Source organism: Homo sapiens, chromosome 2 (genome assembly GCF_000001405.40).
Source record: "Homo sapiens chromosome 2, GRCh38.p14 Primary Assembly".
NCBI lineage: Eukaryota > Metazoa > Chordata > Mammalia > Primates > Hominidae > Homo > Homo sapiens.
In genome coordinates, this window is record NC_000002.12 from 149833707 (window position 1) to 149854729 (window position 21023).

Genomic DNA, 21023 nt, shown 5'->3' on the forward strand with positions numbered 1-21023 from the left:
ACACAATATTAGCAGCCATGCTATAAAAGAAAGTCTTAAATGGATGGCATTTTGTTACAGTGAGTGTACAGTTTTTGTCTCTCTATTTACTAGAGGAAATAGATGAGAGCAACGCAATTGTGAATCACAGGTCCTTCTGGTGTGAAATTTATCCTAACTAAGCTTAAAACATTTGATAGCCAAAGGCATGAGCCTCCATGGCAAATAGTTCTCATTTTCACTTCTGTTAGCCTTTGTTAATGGAATGAATATATGACTAGAGGGCAGGTGAACCCTGCTAGCTATCCAAGAGTAACTTGATCTAAGCAATTCACTCGTCTTATTTTTTTTTTAATCTTTCTTTTCCTTTTCTTCTTTGGTTAATTTTTATGTATTTATTTTTTTTATTGCTTTTTTATTATACTTTAAGTTCTGGGATACATGGGCAGAACGTGCAGATTTGTTACATAGGTATGCATGTGCCGTGGTGGTTTGCTGCACCCATCAACCTGTCATCTACACTAGGTATTTCTCTTAATGCTATCCCTCCACTAGCCCCCTACCCTGCAACAGGCCCCAGTGTGTGATGTTCCCCTTGCTGTGTCCATGTGCTCTCATTATTCAACTCCCACTTATGAGTGAGAACATTCAGTGTTTGGTTTTCTGTTCCTGGGCTGGTTTGCTGAGAATGATGATTTCCAGCTTCATCCATGTATCTGCAAAGGATATGAACTCATTCTTTTTTAAGGCTGCATAGTATTCCATTGGTATATATGTGCCACATTTTCCATATGCAGTCTATCATTGATGGGCATTTGGGTTGATTCCAAGTCTTTGCTATTGTGAATAGTGCTACGATAAACATATGTGTGCATGTGTCTTTATAGTAGAATAATTTATAATCCTTTGGGTATATGCCCAGTAATGGGATTACTGTGTCAAATGATATTTCTGGTTCTAGATCCTTGAGGAATCATCACACTGTCTTCCACAGTGCTTGAACTAATTTACACTCCCACCAACAGTATAAAAGTGTTCATATTTCTCCACATCCTCTCCAGCATCTGTTGTTTCCTGGCTTTTTACTGATGGCCATTCTAACTGGCATGAGATGGCATCTCATTTTGTTTTTGATTTGCATTTCTCTAATGACCAGTGATGATGAACTGTTTTTCATATATTTGTTGACCACATAAATGTCTTCTTTTAAGAAGTGTCTGTTCATATCCTTCCCCCACTTATTGATGAAGTTGTTCTTTTTCTTGTAAATTTGTTTAAGTTCTTTGTAGATTCTGGATATTAGCCCTTTGTCAGATGAATAGATTCCAAAAATTTTCTCCCATTCTGTAGGTTGCCTGTTCACTCTGATGATAGCTTCCTTTGCTGTGCAGAAGCTCTTTAGTTTAATTAGATCCCATTTGTCAATTTTGGTTTTTGTTGCAATTGCTTTTGGTGTTTTATTCATGAAGTCTTTGCCAATGCGTGTGTCCTGAATTGTATTGCCTGAGTTTTCTTCTAGGGTTTTTATGGTTTTTAGGTCTTACACCTTTAAGACTTTAATCCATCTTGAGTTAATTTTTGTATAAGGTGTAAGGGAAGGGATCCAGTTTCAGTTTTCTGCATATGGCTAGCCAGTTTTCCAACACCATTCATTAAATAGGGAATCCTTTCCCCATTGCTTGTTTTTGTCAGGTTTGTCAAAGATCAGATGGTTGTAGATGTGTGCCGTTATTTCTGAGGCCTCTGTTCTGTTCCATTGGTCTATATATCTGTTTTGGTAGCAGTGCCATGCTGTTTTGGTTACTGTAGCCTTGTAGCACAGTTTGAAGTCAGGTAGCGTGATGCCTCCAGCTTTGTTCTTTTTGCTTAGGATTGTCTTGGCTATATGGGCTCTTTTATGGTTTTGCATATAATTTAAAGTAGTTTTTTTCTAATTATGTGAAGAAAGTCAAGGGTAGCTTGATGGGGATAGCATTAAATCTATAAATTACTTTGGGCAGTATGGCCATTTTCATGATATTGATTCTTCCTATCCATGAGCATGGAATGTTTTTCCATTTGTTTGTGTCCTCTCTCATTTCCTTGAGCAGTGGTTTGTAGTTCTCCTTGAAGATGTCCTTCACATCCCTCATAAGGTGAATTCCTAGGTATTTTATTCTCTTTGTAGCAACTGTGAATTGGAGCTCATTCATGATTTGGCTCTCTGTTTGTCTATTATTGGTGTATAGGAATGCTTGTGATTTTTGCACGCTGATTTTGAATTCTGAGACTTTGCTGAAGTTGCTTATCAGCTTAAGGAAATTTTGGGCTGAGACAATGGGGTTTTCTAAATATACAATCATGTCATCTGCAAACAGAGACAATTTGACTTCCTCTCTTCCTATTTGAATAGACTTAATTTCATTTTCTTGCCTGATTTCCCTGGCCAGTACTTCCAATACTATGTTGAATAGGAGTGGTGAGAGAGGACATCCTTGTGTTGTGCTGGTTTTCAAAGGGAGTGCTTCCAGCTTTTGGCCATTCAATATGATATTGGCTGTGGGTTTTTCAAAAATAGCTCTTATTTTGAGATACATTCCATCAATAGCTAGTTTATTGAGAGTTTGTAGCATGAAGGGGTGTTGAATTTTATTGAAGGCCTTTTCTTCATCTATTGAGATAATCATGTGTTTTTTGTCATTTGTTCTGTTTATGTTATGGATTATGTGTATTGATTTACATACGTTGAACCAGCCTTGCATCCCAGTGATGAAGTGGACTTGATCGTGGTAGATAAGCTTTTTGATGTGCCACTGGATTGGGTTTGCCAGTATTTTATTGAGGATTTTTGTATCGATGTTCATCAGGGATATTGGCCTGAAATTTTCTTTTTTTGCTGTGTCTCTGCCATGTTTTGGTATCAGGATGATGCTGGCCTCATAAAATGAGTTAGGGAGGAGTCCCTCTTTTTCTATTGTTTCGAATAGTTTCAGAAGGAATGGTACCAACTCCTCTTTGTACCTCTGGTAGAATTTGTCTGTGAATCCGTCTGGTCCTGGACTTTGCTTGGTTGGTAGCCTATTAATTACTGCCTCAATTTCAGAACTTGTTATTGTTCTATTCAGGGATTTGACTTCTTCTTGGTTTAGTCTTCAGAGGGCGTATGTGTCCAGGTATGTATCCATTTCTTCTAGATTTTCTAGTTTATTTGTGTGGAGGTGTTTATAGTATTCTCAATGGTAGTTTGTATTTCTGTAGGTTCAGTGGTGATATACCCTTTATCAATTTTATTGTGTCTATTTGATTCTTCTCTATTTTTTCCTTTTTTAGTCTTGCTAGTGGTCTATGTATTTTGTTAATCTTTTCCAAAAAAAAACCAGCTCCTGGATTCACTGATTTTTTTGAAGGGTTTTTTGTGTCTCTATCTCCTTCAGTTCTGCTCTGATCTTAGTTGTTTCTTATCTTCTGCTACCTTTTGAATTTGTTTGCTCTTGCTTCTCTACTTCTTGTAATTGTAATATTAGGTTGTCAATTTTAGATCTTTCCTGCTTTCTCCTGTGGGCATTTAGAGCTATAAATTTCCCTCTAAACACTGCTTTAGCTGTGTCTCAGAGATTCTGGTATGTTGTGTCTTTGTTCTCATTAGTTTCAAAGAACTTTTTTATTTCTGCCTTCATTTCATTTTTTACCCAGTAGTCATTCAGGAGCAGGTTGTTCAGTTTCCAACTACAGTTTCCACAACTGTAGTTGTGCAGTTTTGAGTGAGTTTCTTAATCCTGAGTTCTAATTTAATTTCACTGTGGTCTGAAAGACTGTTATGATTTCTGTATTTTTCATTTGCTGAGGAGTGTTTTACCTCCAATTATGCGGTCAATTTTAGAATAAGTGCAGTGTGGCGCTGAGAAGAATGTATATTCTGTTGATTTGGGGTGGAGAGTCCTGTAGATAACCATTAGGTCTGCTGGTCCAGAGCTGAGTTCAAGTCCTGAACATCCTTGTTAATTTTCTGTCTCATTGATCTGTCTAATATTGACAGTGGGATGTTAATGTCTCCCACTATTATTCTGTGGGAGTCTAAGTCTCCTTATAGGTCTCTAAGAGCTTGTTTTATGAATCTGGGTGCTCCTGTATTGGGTGCATATATATTTAGGATAGGTAGCTCTTCTTGTTGCATTGATCCCTTTTCCATTATATAATGCCCTTCTTTGTCTTTTTTGATCCCTGTTGGTTTAAAATCTGTTTTTTTTTTTTGTTAGTTTTGTTTTTTGTTTGTTTGTTTGTTTTGTTTTTGAGACAGAATCTTGCTCTGTCACCAGGCTGGAGTACAGTGGCATGATCTCAGCTTACTGCAACCTCCGCCTCCCACATTCAAGTGATTCTCTTGCCTCAGCCTCCCGGGTAGCTGGGACTACAGGTGCACGCCACCACACCCAGCTAATTTTTGTACTTTTAGTAGAGATGGGGTTTCACAATGTTGGCCAGAATTGTCTGTAGCTCTTGACCTTGTGATCTGCCCACCTTGGCCTCCCAAAGTGCTGGGATTATAGGCGTGAGCCACTGTGCCCAGCCTAAAGTCTGTTTTATCAGAGACTAGGATTGCAACCCCTGCTTTTTTTGCTTTCCATTTGCTTGGTAAATATTCCTCCATCCCTTTATTTTGAACCTATGTGCATCTTTGCACATGAGATGTGTCTCCTGAACACAGACTCTGATGGATCTTGACTCTTTATCCAATTCTCCCATCTGTGTCATTTAATTGGGGCATTTAGCCTGTTTACATTTAAGGTTAATATTGTTATGTGTGAATTTGATCCTGTCATTATGATTCCAGCTGGTCATTTTGTCCATTAATTGATGCAGTTTCTACATAGTGTTGATGGTCTTTCTTTACAATTTGGTATGATTTTGCAGGTGCTGGTACCAGTTTTTCCTTTCTATATTTAGTGCTTCCTTCAGGAGCACTTGTAAGGCAGGCTTGATGGTGATAAAATCTGTCACCATTTGTTTGTTTGTAAAGGATTTCATTTCTCCTTCTGCTTATGAAGCTTAGTTTGGCTGGAGATGAAATTCTGGGTTGAAAATTCTTTTCTTTAAGAATGTTGAATATTGGCCCCCACTATCTTTTGGCTTGTAAGGTTTCTGCAGAAAGATCTGCTGTTAGTCTGAGGGACTCCCCTTTGGGGGTAACCTGACCTTTTTCTCTAGCTGCCCTTAAAACTTTTCCTTCATTTCAACCTTGATGAATCTGACAACTTTTGTATGCTTCATGAAGTTCTTGTGCTATGTTTTTCGCTCCATCAGGTTATTTATGTTCTTCTCTAAACTGGTTATTCTAATTAGCAATTCCTCTAACCTGTTTTCAAGGTTCTTAGTTGCCTTGCACTGGGTTAGAACATGCTCCTTTAGCTCGGAGCAGTTTGTTATTACCCACCTTCTGAAGACTACTTCTGTCAGTTTATCAAACTCACTCTCCGTCCAGTTTTGTTCCCTTGCTGGTGAGGAGTTGTGATCCTTTTGAGGAGAAGAGGTTTCTGTTTTTTGGAATTTTTAGCCATTTTGCACTAGTTTTTCCTCATCTTCATGGATTTACCTACCTTTGGTCTTTGTTGTTGGTCACCTTTGGATGGGGTTTCTGTGGACATCTTTTTTGTTGATGTTAATGCTATTCCTTTCTCTTTGTTAGTTTTTCTTCTAACAGTCAGGCCCCTCTGCTGCAGGTCTGCTGGAGTTTGCTGGAAGTCCTCTCCAGACCCTGTTTGCATGGGTATCACCAGTGGAGGCTGCTGAACAGCAAAGATTGCTGCCTGTTTCTTCCTCTGAAAGCTTTGTCCCAGAGGGGCACCCACCAGATGCCAGCCAGAGCCATCCTATATGAGGTGTCTGCCAACCCCTGCTGGGAGATGTCTCCCAGTCAGGAGGAACAGGGGTCAGTGACCCACTTAAGGAGGCAGTCTATACTGGGAGAGCTAGGATGCTGTACTGGGAGAGCCGCTGCTCTCTTAGAGCCAGCAGGCAGGAACGTTTAAGTCTGCTGAAGCTGTGCCCACAGCTACCCCTCCCTGCAGGTGCTCCGTCCCAGGGCGATGGGAGTTTTATCTATAAGCCTCTAACTGGGGTTGCTGCCTTTCTTTTAGAGATGCCCTGCCCAGAGAGGAGGAATCTAGAGAAGCCTCTTTTTCCTTTTAATAAAATATTTTATGGAGTTTTCAGAGCATGCTCATATTCATCTCATCTGATCTTTACAACATCTCAGTGAAGTTAGTTAGTCAAGGGTTCTCACTTCCATTTTTAGATAAGGGACACATGGTTCTTGGGGAGTTGAGTGGGATGGGGGACTGGGGTTTTGACTCTAAGCCCTATGCTTTTTCTTTTTTTTTCATTATAGTGCAATGATACTTTAGGTCTCTGTTTCCTTACTTCAAACTAATGATAAATATACCTAGTTTGCCAAGTTATCAAGTTGTTGTAGGAATGACAAGACATTGCTGAGTTTTGACAACTATGACTAATCAAAGCCATATGTAATTGTGAAATAATTTTCTTGCTTTTGTCAAACCCAAGAGCTCCTTTTTTCAGATCAAAAAGTCTTCCTCTACTTTCTTCAACAGAAAATGGCCAAAACTGATGCATGTGTACAGAGTCCTGGAGTTCCCCATGTGAAAACATTTAGGAATAAACTCTCTTAAAGAAAAAATGGAAGGTCATTAAAAAGCAACCAAATAGTAAATCCGATTTGGCTTTATACAGAGACTGTGATCAAATTTATTTTTTAATGATGAATGATTGGTTTGCTTGAATGTAGTTCTATTTTCTCACTCATTGATAAATATTCCCCTCTTACTTTTGAATTAGTTCTGCTATATAGGATTATGATTTTTAAGAACAGAAGTACAAAAATAAACAGATATTTTATATGCCAAAATTGGTTATGACCAGAGCCTTGTTTTCAAAAATTAGAGAAATTTTCCAATAAAGGACCAGAAATATGGTCTCTGTCAAGAATTCTCATGTCTACCATTGTAGAGTGTAAAAATAGCCATGAGAAATATATGAGTGAATGGGTGTGTTCCAAAAAAACTTTATTTATGAACACTGAAATGTGAATTTCATAAAATTTTCATATGTAATGAAATGCTATTTATTTTTTCAACCACTTAAAAATGGAAAAACCATTCTTAACTTATGGTCATACAAAAACAGATGATTGGCTGGATTTGGCACATGGGCCATGTTCAACACTAAACTAAAGCACCAAACACTCATTGTTGCTGGAGACACTGCTCAGTTCCAATTATTCTTGGAGCTGGAAAAGGATTTCTAGGGAGTTTTTTCTCACAACACAAATTTTCAGCACTAATGTCAGCAAAAGCAATACTTTAAAGCAGGGATCTAAAAGTTAGTTGGTCATCTTGTTGTAAGAAAAGTAGAAGTATTTCCTTGTCAGTAAGTTAGAGATCCCAGCTTACATTCAAAAGAGAAAGATTATTGAGCATAATTTGGCATAGAGCTGGCAAAATCTTGGAGCAAAGGCTTTAACAATCTCACAGGGCTTAGTGCATTTCCACTCTCAATTTGGTGCTCAATAAGTTTCTGTTGAATTAATTGGAATTCCCACGAAGTTTCTAAGTTTTTGCTTATAATGTAGAACAAAGTGAATATAGACTATAATTGTCTGTTTAGAAGACAAAGGGTTAATGAAATGAACCTTTTGGTTCATTTAGAAATGAACTCTTTACTGCCACTTGATGAAGGTTGATTAAGAAAGACTTAAATGACAGTGAGGTTTTACAAAACTGCTGGCAGTAGGGCAAGGTGTGCACAATATCTAAATGATTAGCTATTATGAGCATGATAATACCCATGACTAAGCTAATTTGTGGCTATAAATTGGATATTTATGGAACCTGTTAAATTATTTCAGATCTCCAGTGTGTAATTCAATCACAATGAAGCAGCTAATTATTGCTATGTCCTATTATCTAAGAAGTTCAAACCTATTCCAAACTTCTTTGACTCACAGTCAATACCATGACATTTTAGTACCTAACTTATCTTTGTGTTTTTCATGTGCGTTACTTTTATTTGTTCAACTACATCACAAGTTTCTTTTGAGCAGGGTCATATTACATAAATAGGAGCAACATAATGGTTAGGAGCAGGGCTGTAAACTCAGATTGCTAGGGTTCAAATTCTGCTTTGGCATTTACTAGAAATGCAATCTGGAGCACATTACCTAGTCTCTCTTTGATCTTAGTTTATTTATTTGTAAACAGCAATAATAATAAAGGTATCTACCTGACTGAGTTGGATTGCTGGGAGAGCTAAATGTATCAATGCATGTAGGCACTCAGAGCAGTTGCTGGTACACGGTAAGTCTTAGATAAATGCCGGTTAAAAATATGCCTTTGGGTCCTAGTCTGAGGCTATAAAATCCTATTTATAAGCTGATGATTTCTCCAGTCCTGATCTTTCCAGTGAACCCCATATAAGTTATCCACTTGGAATATTTACACATCTCCACTTGGAAATCAAATACACATCTCAAAAGTATCATACCCACAAAACACACTTGATTTCTTTTCCACCCCAAACCTATTCTCCCTTAGTGTTTCCCATCCTGATATAATCCACCCCAAACCTATTCTCCCTTAGTGTTTCCCATCCTGATATAAAGACCAGCTTTAGACTTCAGGCTAAAACACAAATACAATCCTGCAATTTCCATCTTTAACCTCTTTCTTTTTCACATATTCCATATCCTCTCCGTTAGCCTATTCTGTGAGTTCTATAACATATATCTAAATCCAACTAACGCATCAGTTTGCCTATCCTGCTAGTCTGTATCATAATGATTTCTTTCTTAGGCTATGATTGCAGGCACCTCCTAACTGGTCTTCCTTCTTCTGTCCACAATCCTCTACCATTGATTTCCCACACACTAGCCAGAGTGCTGCATGCACAGCACCCACACAGTCACACAGTTCCTGGTACATGGTAAGAGTTCAAACTGAAGGAATGTTTGATTGGAATATTTGGAAGCTAATTTATGTATAACCATATGATAGGCACTAAGAGAATTTGATTAAAAGTGATGTAAAATTCTCAATAGTCTCTGCCTTTTAAAATTATTGAAATAAGTAATTCCTTTACAAGTGAAATCAGAAGAAGATAGAAATGCGTAATTTGGAAGGTTTCTTCAGACTATAAAATTCTGAGTCCATGATTTGTTAAAAGCTGCAAGGCTAAGAATATGACAGATAATTCAACCTAGATGAATTTTTTACTGGAATATTCTTGAAAAGAGTACTGGATTGGGAAGCTCTTGTTTAACAAACCCTGCATTTGTACAAGAAAGGTTAATTTGTGAGTCCTACACTTACACCAAACATATATATTTTATATTCATGCAGTTTGTCAGGACATATTATTTTATAAAAAAAGAAAAGAAAAACTCCTTCCTTAATTAGATCTTTCAGAAGTTAAGGTAGAAAAACAATTTGTGTCAAATTATGAATCTCCAAATATTTTCTTTTGCAGTACTGCTCTAGCCTATAAATCTTTTATTCAAGTATCTTTTTAAAAGTTAAAGTGTTTAGTATAATTTTTTAACTGTGAAGTTTTTCATTTTTATGTATTTATTTTTAAGATGATGTTTAAGTGTTTAAAGGCTTAGGCCTAGGATGTTTTAAATATTAAGCCCTGATTCTCCTCATTTCTCTATAGTGAATTTTGACCAGACTGAGACATACTACAAAGGACAGTTGCCAGAAACAACACCCAAAGGTATATTTTAAGCTGGCATTTATTGATGGCTAGAGAATAAGGGGCTTGTTAGGTCATAGCATGCTGCTGAGGGCTGATAGGTCTATATCTCTTCCTGGGACACTTTCAGTCTGCAGCCCCTCTCCTGTCTATCCCATTTTTTCTTCAGTGCCAGAGAGAGGTACATGATTTTTGTATCCAGAAAATCCAGAGACCCTTTTCTTTTGACTATAAGTAAGGAGACTATGAATAGACATGGGGGAAAAATGAAAATTAAAGGAAGAATGGAAAAAGATAAGGAGAAAATGGTAGTCAGAAGAGGAAAGAAAAACAAAGAAAAGGAAGAAAGAAAATAGATTAGCTCTCAACTTCTGAACAATATAGATAAAACTAATTATATGTTTGTGTGTGTGTATATATATGTGGTGTGTATATATGTTTGTGTGTGTGTGTGTGTATGTGTGTGTGTGTGTGTATATATATATATATATAATATATATATGGTGTCTGTGTGTGTGCACACAAGTAGCCTACCTCTGTCTGCCTAGAGACCTTGAAACAATGCTGTACCTATAGCAAAGCACACACCTAGAACCCAGATGATCTTGATCTATAATCATAATCTCCACTAAAAGGAATCAGATCCAGGGCTTCTTGGAGAGATGACTGATTGTGGAATTTGGGAAGGAAAGAACAAGACGAGCCTGGAACATTTTGTGACAGACAGTAAGAAGATGTCCAAGGAATGACAGACCCATGTCAAAAGAACATAGGAACCAGCTCGAAGGGACTTCCACTGGACAGATTTGAGAACGATTTCAGCATCAAAATATAACAACAACAATAATAATTGTAATAATTACAATTCATTATATAAAATAAGAATTCACGAGTCCATTCTTATATTAATTTCCAAAACATGCAAATAGATAAGTGAAAGCTGCTTTTCTTGACAGTAGAGTGCCAACCAATTAATGTAGAAGAAATGGTGGATGCTAAAACTGGTGGATAAAATTCTTGACAAGAACTGGTATATTTGCATAGGCTTAAAGTATCCCAAACAAATTCTTTATTAATTACAAAGACAAAAAAACTTTTCAGTGGAAAAAGTGCTGTATACCAAAGTAAGCTTTGTTACTACTGGGCACACTAACATCAAATATTTTCAGATATGATCAAGAGAAGGACAAGCTATCACTTCCACAGAAGTCTTGCCAAAGCCAATGACCTGAATTTAATCATGAGGAAACATCAACCAAACCCAAAGCAAGAAGCATCCTATGAAGTAATTGACAAGTACCCTTCAAAATTGTCAAGCTCATGAAGGATTAAAAGACAGAGGAAAGCTTCTAGATGAACGGAAATTAAAGAGATTTGACAACTAAATAAAATATATGTTCCTTGGTTGGATCCTCAACTTAAGGAAAAAATGGCTGTAAAGAACATTATTGGAACAATTGAAAAAATTTGGATATGAATTCTGGATTGGTATCTTAGTATCTGTGGGCTGCCACAACAAAATACCATATTCTGGGTCGTTTAAACAACAGAAATTCATTTTTTCACAATTCTGGTGGCTAAAAGTCTAAGATTAGAGTGTCGCCTGGTTGTTTTCTGATGAGGGCTCTTCCTTTGGGTTACAGAGCCACCATCTTGCTGTGTGCTCACATGACCTCTTCTTTGTATGCACAGGCACACACACACACACACACACACACACACACGAGAGAGAGAGAGAGAGCAAGAGAGAGTCCTGGTTCACCAATCTCATTGGACCAGGGCCCCAGGGCCTCATCCTCATAACCTCATCTAAGCCTAACCACCTCCCAAAGGCCCCATCTCCAAACACCATCACATTGAGGGTTAGGACTTCAACATATGAATCTGTGTGGGGGACACAAGCATTCGGTACATAATCTTCAGGTATCAAAGTTAAGTTTCTTGATTGTGATAACTATGCAGGCGTTCTGTAAGAGAATGTCCTTGCTCTTAAGCAAATCACCCTAAAATTTTTAGGGGTAAAGAAACATATTGACTCCAGCTTACTGTCATGGTTCAGAAAAAAAAATGTACATATACATACACAAATAGAAAAAAAGAAATTAGGCAAAAAAGTAAATACTTGTAGAATCTGGGTAATGAGTGTAATGGGATTTCCTTGTACATCAAAATAAAAGGTACAAAAAATGTTATTCAAAAGGATTCTTGGAGCTACAAGGTAGATTCTTATTATCCTTCATCAACCAACCTATTACTACTTATCCAGGGAGTTAGCAAGCTTTCTCCATGTTATTTAATCTTCTTTCTGAAAATGTTGATTAATCTTCTGGCTTTCATAGAATAAAAATCTGAAAGTCATCAGGTTCTCAGCATCTGTGATATTAGGTTAACAAGAGTAATGCAACACTTTGATAAGATATAATTTCATAGAAAAAATACAAAGTCCTGCATTTGAATTTAAAAAATCAATTGTTTTGGAACAAAATTAAAGATAGCTAACAACTGCTCACCTGAAAAATCAGAGTTCATAAGCAAGTGCAATATAAAATATTAAAATGTATATGTAATTGTACATGTGAATGTACATAATGTAATTTTCTATGTGAATGTAATTATACTTAGTCATAATTTTTGGATTTTCTTTTAAAGGCATCAGTGTATCAGTTAGTACTTGACAATAATTCTTTATGGCATCGTTGTTTAGTCTTTTTTGTTTTTTTTGAAACGGAGTCTCACTCTGTCGCCCAGGCTGGAGTGCAGTGGCGCAAACTGGGCTCACTGCAAGCTCCGCCTCCCAGGTTCACGCCATTCTCCTGTCTCAGCCTCCCGAGTAGCTGGGACTACAGGCCCTTGCCACACGCCTGGCTAATTTTTTGTATTTTTAGTAGAGATGGGGTTTCACCGTGTTAGCCAGGATGGTCTCAATCTCCTGACCTCATGATCCGCCTGCCTCAGCCTCCCAAAGTGCTAGGATTACAGGCTTGAGCCATTGCGTCTGGCCCACTGTTTAGTCTTAATGTGATTATTCACATATTTCTATTTTCATTGAAAATGTAATTCTTAATAAAGCACCTTTCTTTCAAAATATAAACATTTTTTCTCTCTCTGTAGAAAACAATAACATACAAAAATAGGGGCTTACTTTCACCTTTTTTCAAAATCTTAATGACTTACAAAATTATGTAGTTTATTTTCTATGCCTTCTTTTCAAACTACATGAATTTCAAATAACAAGAATATATGTATCCTCATTTTCTATTTGAGATAAATGTGTTGGGTCTTAAAAACATAGAATATATATATTAAACGAAGTATTTATGTGAGCTATGGATAATCACGTTTATGCCCACACATGGTGGACTACTTGAAAAAATTGATTCCTCCCTAGGAGGAGAAAGGAATGATGGTTCTAGATTTTGCCTTAAGTCAGTAGTTCCAAATACAGATCTCCCTTGTACTGTCTTGAGGTCCCGAATGCTGTGCGCTCAATGCAGGGTTAGCTATTGAGGAGGTTTGGCAAATAGTGAGCTACTTTTTGAATTGAGTGTTGAAAATGATCTCAGCTACCCCAAATATGGCCTATAGTTCCATTGCTCTCCCAATCACCTTGCAACAGATAGAGTTTTATTTCATGGATTTGAGACCTTGGTGAGTTAAATATGGAAGGAGATGCAGTAAAGATTAGAAATGGGGGAAGGTATCCAGAAATGGCAGGATGGGTGGATGTGACAATAGTGTGAAGTGTGTGAACAGCAAGAGGACAATTCAGTATGTCCACGCTGCCAAGGAGGAACCCAAGGAAGAAAGGTGGATATGGAATTAGTGCAGGGTTTGCCCTAGTGAAGGGCTTGTGGAACAGAGATGCCCCACATCCAGCACACTTTGTGCTTTCAGGAATCATGTAGTCAGATGCTACCACTCGTGAAGCATTGGCACCATTGTAAATACATTGCCCACTTCGCATGATTCTTTATTAAAACATCATGTGCCTCACAGAAGTAATATTTTATCTTTAAAATGCCTGTCCTGTCAACTTTGTCTCCTTAAACTTCCTATCACATCTTAAGATTTTTGCTACTATCTTTATTAGGCACAAATATCAAAGTTATACCTGCCTTATAAAAAATTGAACAGTTTTTCTTGGCTTTTAATATCCTGAGACAATTTAAAGAACATTGGGACTATCTGGTCTTGTTTTTGCTTGTCAAATCATAATTGTATACATTTATGAGATATAATGTGATATTTTGATATTTGCATACAATGTGGGATGATTAAATCAAGCTAATTAACATATCTAGCACCTCATTTACTTGTCCTTTTTTATGGTGAGACATTTAAAATTTATACTGTTATTATTTTGAAATACTGTATACAAGACATTCTTCTTGACTATAGTCATCCCGCTATGCAATAGATCTCAAGGCCCATTTCTCCTGCCTATCTGAAACTATGTAACTCATTTTCCTTCTGTTTTTGCAGATACTTCTCCCCTGGACCTTGTTCCCAGGCTCCGTGTGAAGCTGAACACTCCGCATGATCTCCCTGCCACCATAGCAAGCTATGAAGTTCATTACACATGCAGGTAGCAGACAATACAGCTCTGCTTCCATTTCTGAGCACCTACGGTAGACTGCCATTATTCAGTGTGCCAGCCTGTTTCCAAGCCTACAATGTATAGTTCCTCTAGTACGTAAACTCATTTTTTTTCTCAGAGAGCCAAGTAGAGACACAGGCAGTTTTCTTCTCAAAATGTGCCAGAAATTCCAAAACAATCTCAAAGCATTAAAGGCTATGTGCACAAAGTACATGCAGTTGTAGAGTCCCTCTTTTGCAGAAACTTGCACCTCAGCCCACCAGCATTTCCTTGGTGCTTCTCCTCCTGACCCTCATCCTCATGCACAGACCATTGGATATTACTGCACTCACGTACTTGTGTACTTCTTTCTAACAGCTGACTGAAATCTTTCCTACATTTTCAGGGTGATGGGCAGAAAGTTTTTCTCAGGAAACATTGTAGGGAAGCTGGCAGGGGACAGTTATATATATGGGGAGGGTCACATTCTATTATTCATGGGTTTCCGTGGTCACAGGGAGTCAGGGCCAGTTGGAAATGGAAAGGAAAAAGTTCATGTTAACACAGCTGAGGGCAAGGCTATGCCGTAAAGACCTGAGATGCTCCAGGAAAAGGTTCAGGATGCTTCCTTTTTGTCTTTCGATGAAACCAAAATCTACCATTTCTGTTTGAGAGTTTTGGGAAAGAGATGGCAGGTGAGGAGGTTAGGGCATAGATGTGTGAATACTGCCACTATGAACCCCAAAGCACATTTGCCATGATTGGTCTAAAAATAAGATAATAATCCAAATGTAGCTAAATATAGTCTACTATCTAGTTTCTCTCTTTTACGGTCTTTGGCTACCAGTGATCCTTTTTGCCTATGCCTTGGGGGACTTGGGAAGGACAAAGAAGAGAAAAGAATCAGTGTAACATTTAAACAACAGTGCAACCGTGCTGTGAGAGCCATCTCAACCTGATGTCCTAAGTAGCCAGTGTTTCCTTCGCAACACAACAATGGTAAACAAAGATGTTTTCTGGATGGCTGAAGCAAATGTGATTTTTATGCTCAGACCATCCCTCTGCCCTTAAGCCCCTACCATGGGTTAAAAAATTTTTTTTTTCTTTTTTCTTTTTGCTATGAATTTTCTACATGGAAATAGGTGAAGTGAGACATTATTTTCTTCTTCTGTTTATTTTTTGTTACCCAATTTCAAAATGCTGGAAATTTTGTTGAAACACCACTCACTGCAGAGAATATAAGCTTGCATAATGAATTCTAAAATCCCCCTGTTGTGTGGCATTGCTAAGAATGCATGAGGGGAAATTCTGTTGTGTGAAATCCCAGGGTTATGACAAGTTTGACAAGATGAGCTTGATTGACCTTACCACATGTGGTTACACAGACCAATCTACCATCGAGGTTCTCAAAAACAGATAAGGCACATGAGGAATGGCCCTCTTGAGAAGAACGCTGATTTGTTGTAACCTGAGTAGAAAAAATTAATCTGGGAGATTTTAAAACATTGTTTAATGAGTAAAATAATGTGATGTGAAGAATGATGGAGGACAGGGAAATATTTGGGGTTTTATAATTCCTCTCTAAGCCCCACAGTAAAAATTACAAATCATTATTGTTTAGTAAAAATCATATGCATTTTAAAAAAATTCAACTGGGGCAGGAGGATGGGAAGAAATAAGTATATTCATTAAAATGTTTATTCGTGAGCTGTGGCTGTTTTTCATGAGCCACTGACATCTATTCTAATACACAGACAAAGAAAATCCCCAAAGGCAATGCTCAATGAGATCTTGGCAATATTTTTCACTTAGGAAGGATTAATTTCTATGAAGGAAAGCTTTTTAAAAACATGAAATAATGAGCTCTAAATGTATGTCCTTGTCAGGCACATTAGCACAAATGGCTTGGACTATTTCCTAGAGGAAAATTAGATGCTTGGTGGGATGTAGGAGTAGAAGGAGTACATTTTGACTGGAGTCAAGATTGGGGAAAAATGATTGGGATTTAGGATTGGGTGAAGGTGAGCCTGAATGATCCTCAACTAACAAGCCAGGGTCAAAGACTGTGATCTGTAGAGAGAAAAAACTGCAAAGGGGAAGGAACTAGAGACCAGCGTTGTGTAAACCCTACTGTCCAGGATGAAGCTAATTTCTCTGCCTGCTGAATTACAGCCTAAAAAAGCAAATTCAGTTATTTGCAAGCTATGTTTCCCAGTCAAACTACTAAAACCCAATTCTATGATTACAAAGAAAGGGAGAAAGACAGAGACTGACTTTTGGCATCTAAAAACACAAGTCTCCCACTACTCAATTGTGACTGCTCAGAGAGAACAACCCTCTGTCAATGGAAACTGAGAGGTTGTGGGAAAAATAATGTGATGATGGGCAACAAGATGACAAAAAGGAGGAGAGGAGTTCGTAGAGATAAGAAGTGATCAGAGAAAAGAAAAACAAGGAGGGAGGAGCCAAGATGGCTGCATAGGAACAGCTCCGGTGGTGAGCGACGCAGAAGATGGTGATTTCTGCATTTCCATCTGAGGTACCGGGTTCATCTCACTAGGGAGTGCCAGACAGTGGGCACAGGTCAGTGGGTGCGTGCAAAGTGCGCGAGCCGAAGCAGGGCGAGGCATTGCCTCACTTGGGAAGCGCAAGGGGTCAGGGAGTTCCCTTTCCTAGTCAAAGAAAGGGGTGACAGACGGCACCTGGAAAATCGGGTCACTCCCACCAGAATACTGCACTTTTCCGGCGGGCTTAAAAAACGGCGCACCACGAGATTATATCCCGCACCTGGCTCGGAGGGTCCTACGCCCAGGGAGTCTCGCTGATTGCTAGCACAGCAGTCTGAGATCAAACTGCAAGGTGGCAGCCAGGCTGGGGGAGGGGCACCCACCATTGCCCAGGCTTGATTAGGTAAACAAAGCAGCCGGGAAGCTCGAACTGGGTGGAGCCCACCACAGCTCAAGGAGGCCTGCCTGCCTCTGTAGGCTCCACCTCTGGGGGCAGGGCACAGACAAACAAAAAGATAGCAGTAACTTCTGCAGACTTAAATGTCCCTGTCTGACAGCTTTGAAGAGAGCAGTGGTTCTCCCAGCACGCAGCTGGAGATCTGAGAATGGGCAGACTGTCTCCTCAAGTGGGTCCCTGACCCCTGACCCCTGAGCAGCATAACTGGGAGGCACCCCCCAGCAGGGGCACACTGACACCTCACACGGCAGGGTATTCCAACAGACCTGCAGCTGAGGGTCCTGTCTGTTAGAAGGAAAACTAACAAACAGAAAGGACATCCACACCAAAAACCCATCTGTACATCACCATCATCAAAGACCAAAAGTAGATACAACCACAAAGATGGGGAAAAAACAGAACAGAAAAACTGGAAACTCTAAAAAGCAGAGCGCCTCCTCCTCCTCCAAAGGAATGCAGTTCTTCACCAGCAACGGAACAAAGCTGGATGGAGAATAACTGTGACTAGCTGAGAGAAGAAGGCTTCAGACGATCAAATTACTCTGAGCTACGGGAGGACATTCAAACCAAAGGCAAAGAAGTTGAAAACTTTGAAAAAAATTTAGAAGAATGTATAACTAGAATAACCAATACGGAGAAGTGCTTAAAGGAGCTGATGGTGCTGAAAACCAAGGCTCGAGAACTACGTGAAGAATGCAGAAGCCTCAGGAACCAATGCGATCAACTGGAAGAAAGGGTATCAGCAATGGAAGATGAAATGAATGAAATGAAGCGAGAAGGGAAGTTTAGAGAAAAAAGAATAAAAAGAAATGAGCAAAGCCGCCAAGAAATATGGGACTATGTGAAAAGACCAAATCTACGTCTGATTGGTGTACCTGAAAGTGATGGGGAGAATGGAACCAAGTTGGAAAACACTCTGCAGGATATTATCCAGGAGAACTTCCCCAATCTAGCAAGGCAGGCCAACATTCAAATTCAGGAAATACAGAGAATGCCACAAAGATACTCCTCGAGAAGAGCAACTCCAAGACACATAATTGTCAGATTCACCAAAGTTGAAATGAAGGAAAAAATGTTAAGGGCAGCCAGAGAGAAAGGTCGGGTTACCCTCAAAGGGAAGCCCATCAGACTAACAGCAGATCTCTCAGCAGAAACCCTACAAGCCAGAAGAGAGTGGGGGCCAATATTCAACATTCTTAAAGAAAAGAATTTTCAACCCAGAATTTCATATCCAGCCAAACTAAGCTTCATAAGTGAAGGAGAAATAAAATACTTTACAGACAAGCAAATGCTGAGAGATTTTGTCACCACCAGGCCTGCCCTAAAAGAGCTTCTGAAGGAAGCGCTAAACATGGAAAGGAACAACCGGTACCAGCCGCTACAAAATCATGCCAAAATGTAAAGACCATCAAGACTAGGAAGAAACTGCATCAACTAACGAGCAAAATAACCAGCTAACATCATAATGACAGGATCAAATTCACACATAACAATATTAACTTTAAATGTAAATGGACTAAATCCTCCGATTAAAAGACACAGACTGGCAAATTGGATAAAGATTCAAGACCCATCAGTGTGCTGTATTCAGGAAACCCATCTCACGTGCAGAGACACACGTAGGCTCAAAATAAAAGGATGGAGGAAGATCTACCTAGCAAATGGAAAACAAAAAAAGGCAGGGGTTGCAATCCTAGTCTCTGATAAAACAGACTTTAAACCAACAAAGATCAAAAGAGACAAGGCCATTACATAATGGTAAAGGGATCAATTCAACAAGAAGAGCTAACTATCCTAAATATATATGCACCCAATACAGGAGCACCCAGATTCATAAAGCAAGTCCTGAGTGACCTACAAAGAGACTTAGACTCCCACACATTAATAATGGGAGACTTTAACACCCCACTGTCAACATTAGACAGATCAACGAGACAGAAAGTCAACAAGGATACCCAGGACTTGAACTCAGCTCTGCACCAAGCAGACCTAATAGACATCTACAGAACTCTCCACCACAAATCAACAGAATATACATTTTTTTTCAGCACCACACCACACCTATTCCAAAATTGACCACATACTTGGAAGTAAAGCTCTCCTCAGCAAATGTAAAAGAACAGAAATTATAACAAACTATCTCTCAGACCACACTGCAATCAAACTAGAACTCAGGATTAAGAATCTCACTCAAAGCTGCTCAACTACATGGAAACTGAACAACCTGCTCCTGAATGACTACTGGGTACATAACAAAATGAAGGCAGAAATAAAGATGTTCTTTGAAACCAACGAGAACAAAGACACAACATACTAGAATCTCTGGGACACATTCAAAGCAGTGTGTAGAGGGAAATTTATAGCACTAAATGCCCGCAAGAGAAAGCAGGAAAGTTCCAAAATTGACACCCTAACATCACAATTAAAAGAACTAGAAAAGCAAGAGTAAACACATTCAAAAGCTAGCAGAAGGCAAGAAATAACAAAAATCAGAGCAGAACTGAAGGAAATAGAGACACAAAAAACCCTTCAAAAAATCAATGAATCCAGGAGCTGGTTTTTTGAAAGGATCAACAAAATTGATAGACCACTAGCAAGACTAATAAAGAAAAAAAGAGAGAAGAACCAAATAGACGCAATAAAAAATGATAAAGGGGATATCACAACCAATCCCACAGAAATACAAACTACTATCAGAGAATACTATAAGCACCTCTACACAAATAAACTAGAAAATCTAGAAGAAATGGATAAATTCCTCGACACATACACTCTCCCAAGACTAAATCAGGAAGAAGTTGAATCTCTGAATAGACCAATAACAGGATCTGAAGTTGTGGCAATAATCAATAGCTTACCAACCAAAAAGAATCCAGGACCAGATGGATTCACAGCCGAATTCTACCTGAGGTACAAGGAGGAACTGGTACCATTCCTTCTGAAACTATTCCAATCAATAGAAAAAGAGGGAATCCTCCCTAACTCATTTTATGAGGCCAGCATCATTCTGATACCAAAGCCAGGCAGAGACACAACAAAAAAAGAGAATTTTAGAACAATATCCTTGATGAACATTGATGCAAAAATCCTCAATAAAATACTGGCGAAATGAATCCAGCAGCACATCAGAAAGCTTATCCACCATGATCAAGTGGGCTTCATCCCTGGGATGCAAGGCTGGTTCAATATACGCAGATCAATAAATGTAATCCAGCATATAAACAGAGCCAAAGACAAAAACCACATGATTATCTCAATAGATGCAGAAAAAGCCTTTGACAAAATTCAACAACCCTTCATGCTAAAAACTCTCAATAAATTAGGTATTGATGGGACGTATTTCAAAATAGTAAGAGCTATCTATGACAAACCCACAGCCAATATCATACTAAATGGGCAAAAACTGGAAGCATTCCCTTTGAAAACTGGCACAAGACAGGGATGCCCTCTCTCACCACTCCTATTCAACATAGTGTTGGATGTTCTGGCCAGGGCAATCAGGCAGGAGAAGGAAATAAAGGGTATTCAATTAGGAAAAGAGGAAGTCAAATTGTCCCTGTTTGCAGACGACATGATTGTATATCTAGAAAACCCCACTGTCTCAGCCCAAAATCTCCTTAAGCTGATAAGCAACTTCAGCAAAGTCTCAGGATACAAAATCAATGTACAAAAATCACAAGCATTCTTATACACCAACAACAGAAAAACAGAGAGCCAAATCATGAGTGAACTCCCATTCACAATTGCTTCAAAGAGAATAAAA

At 38.6% G+C, this 21023-nt stretch overlaps 2 long non-coding RNA genes across 2 annotated transcripts in view; one reads left to right on the forward strand and one right to left on the reverse strand.

Annotated features, from left to right (window-relative positions):
* The window catches only part of MMADHC-DT (MMADHC divergent transcript), a 260877-nt gene extending 246349 nt beyond the window's left edge, over positions 1 to 14528 (forward strand). The window contains exon 3 of the long non-coding RNA NR_110240.1: positions 14203 to 14528. This is a non-coding gene — a long non-coding RNA (MMADHC divergent transcript). The remainder of the gene's footprint in view (positions 1 to 14202) is intronic.
* Positions 1 to 21023, reverse strand: part of LINC01931 (long intergenic non-protein coding RNA 1931) — a 91686-nt gene that overhangs the window by 66201 nt on the left and 4462 nt on the right. The gene's annotated exons all lie outside the window — the stretch shown is intronic.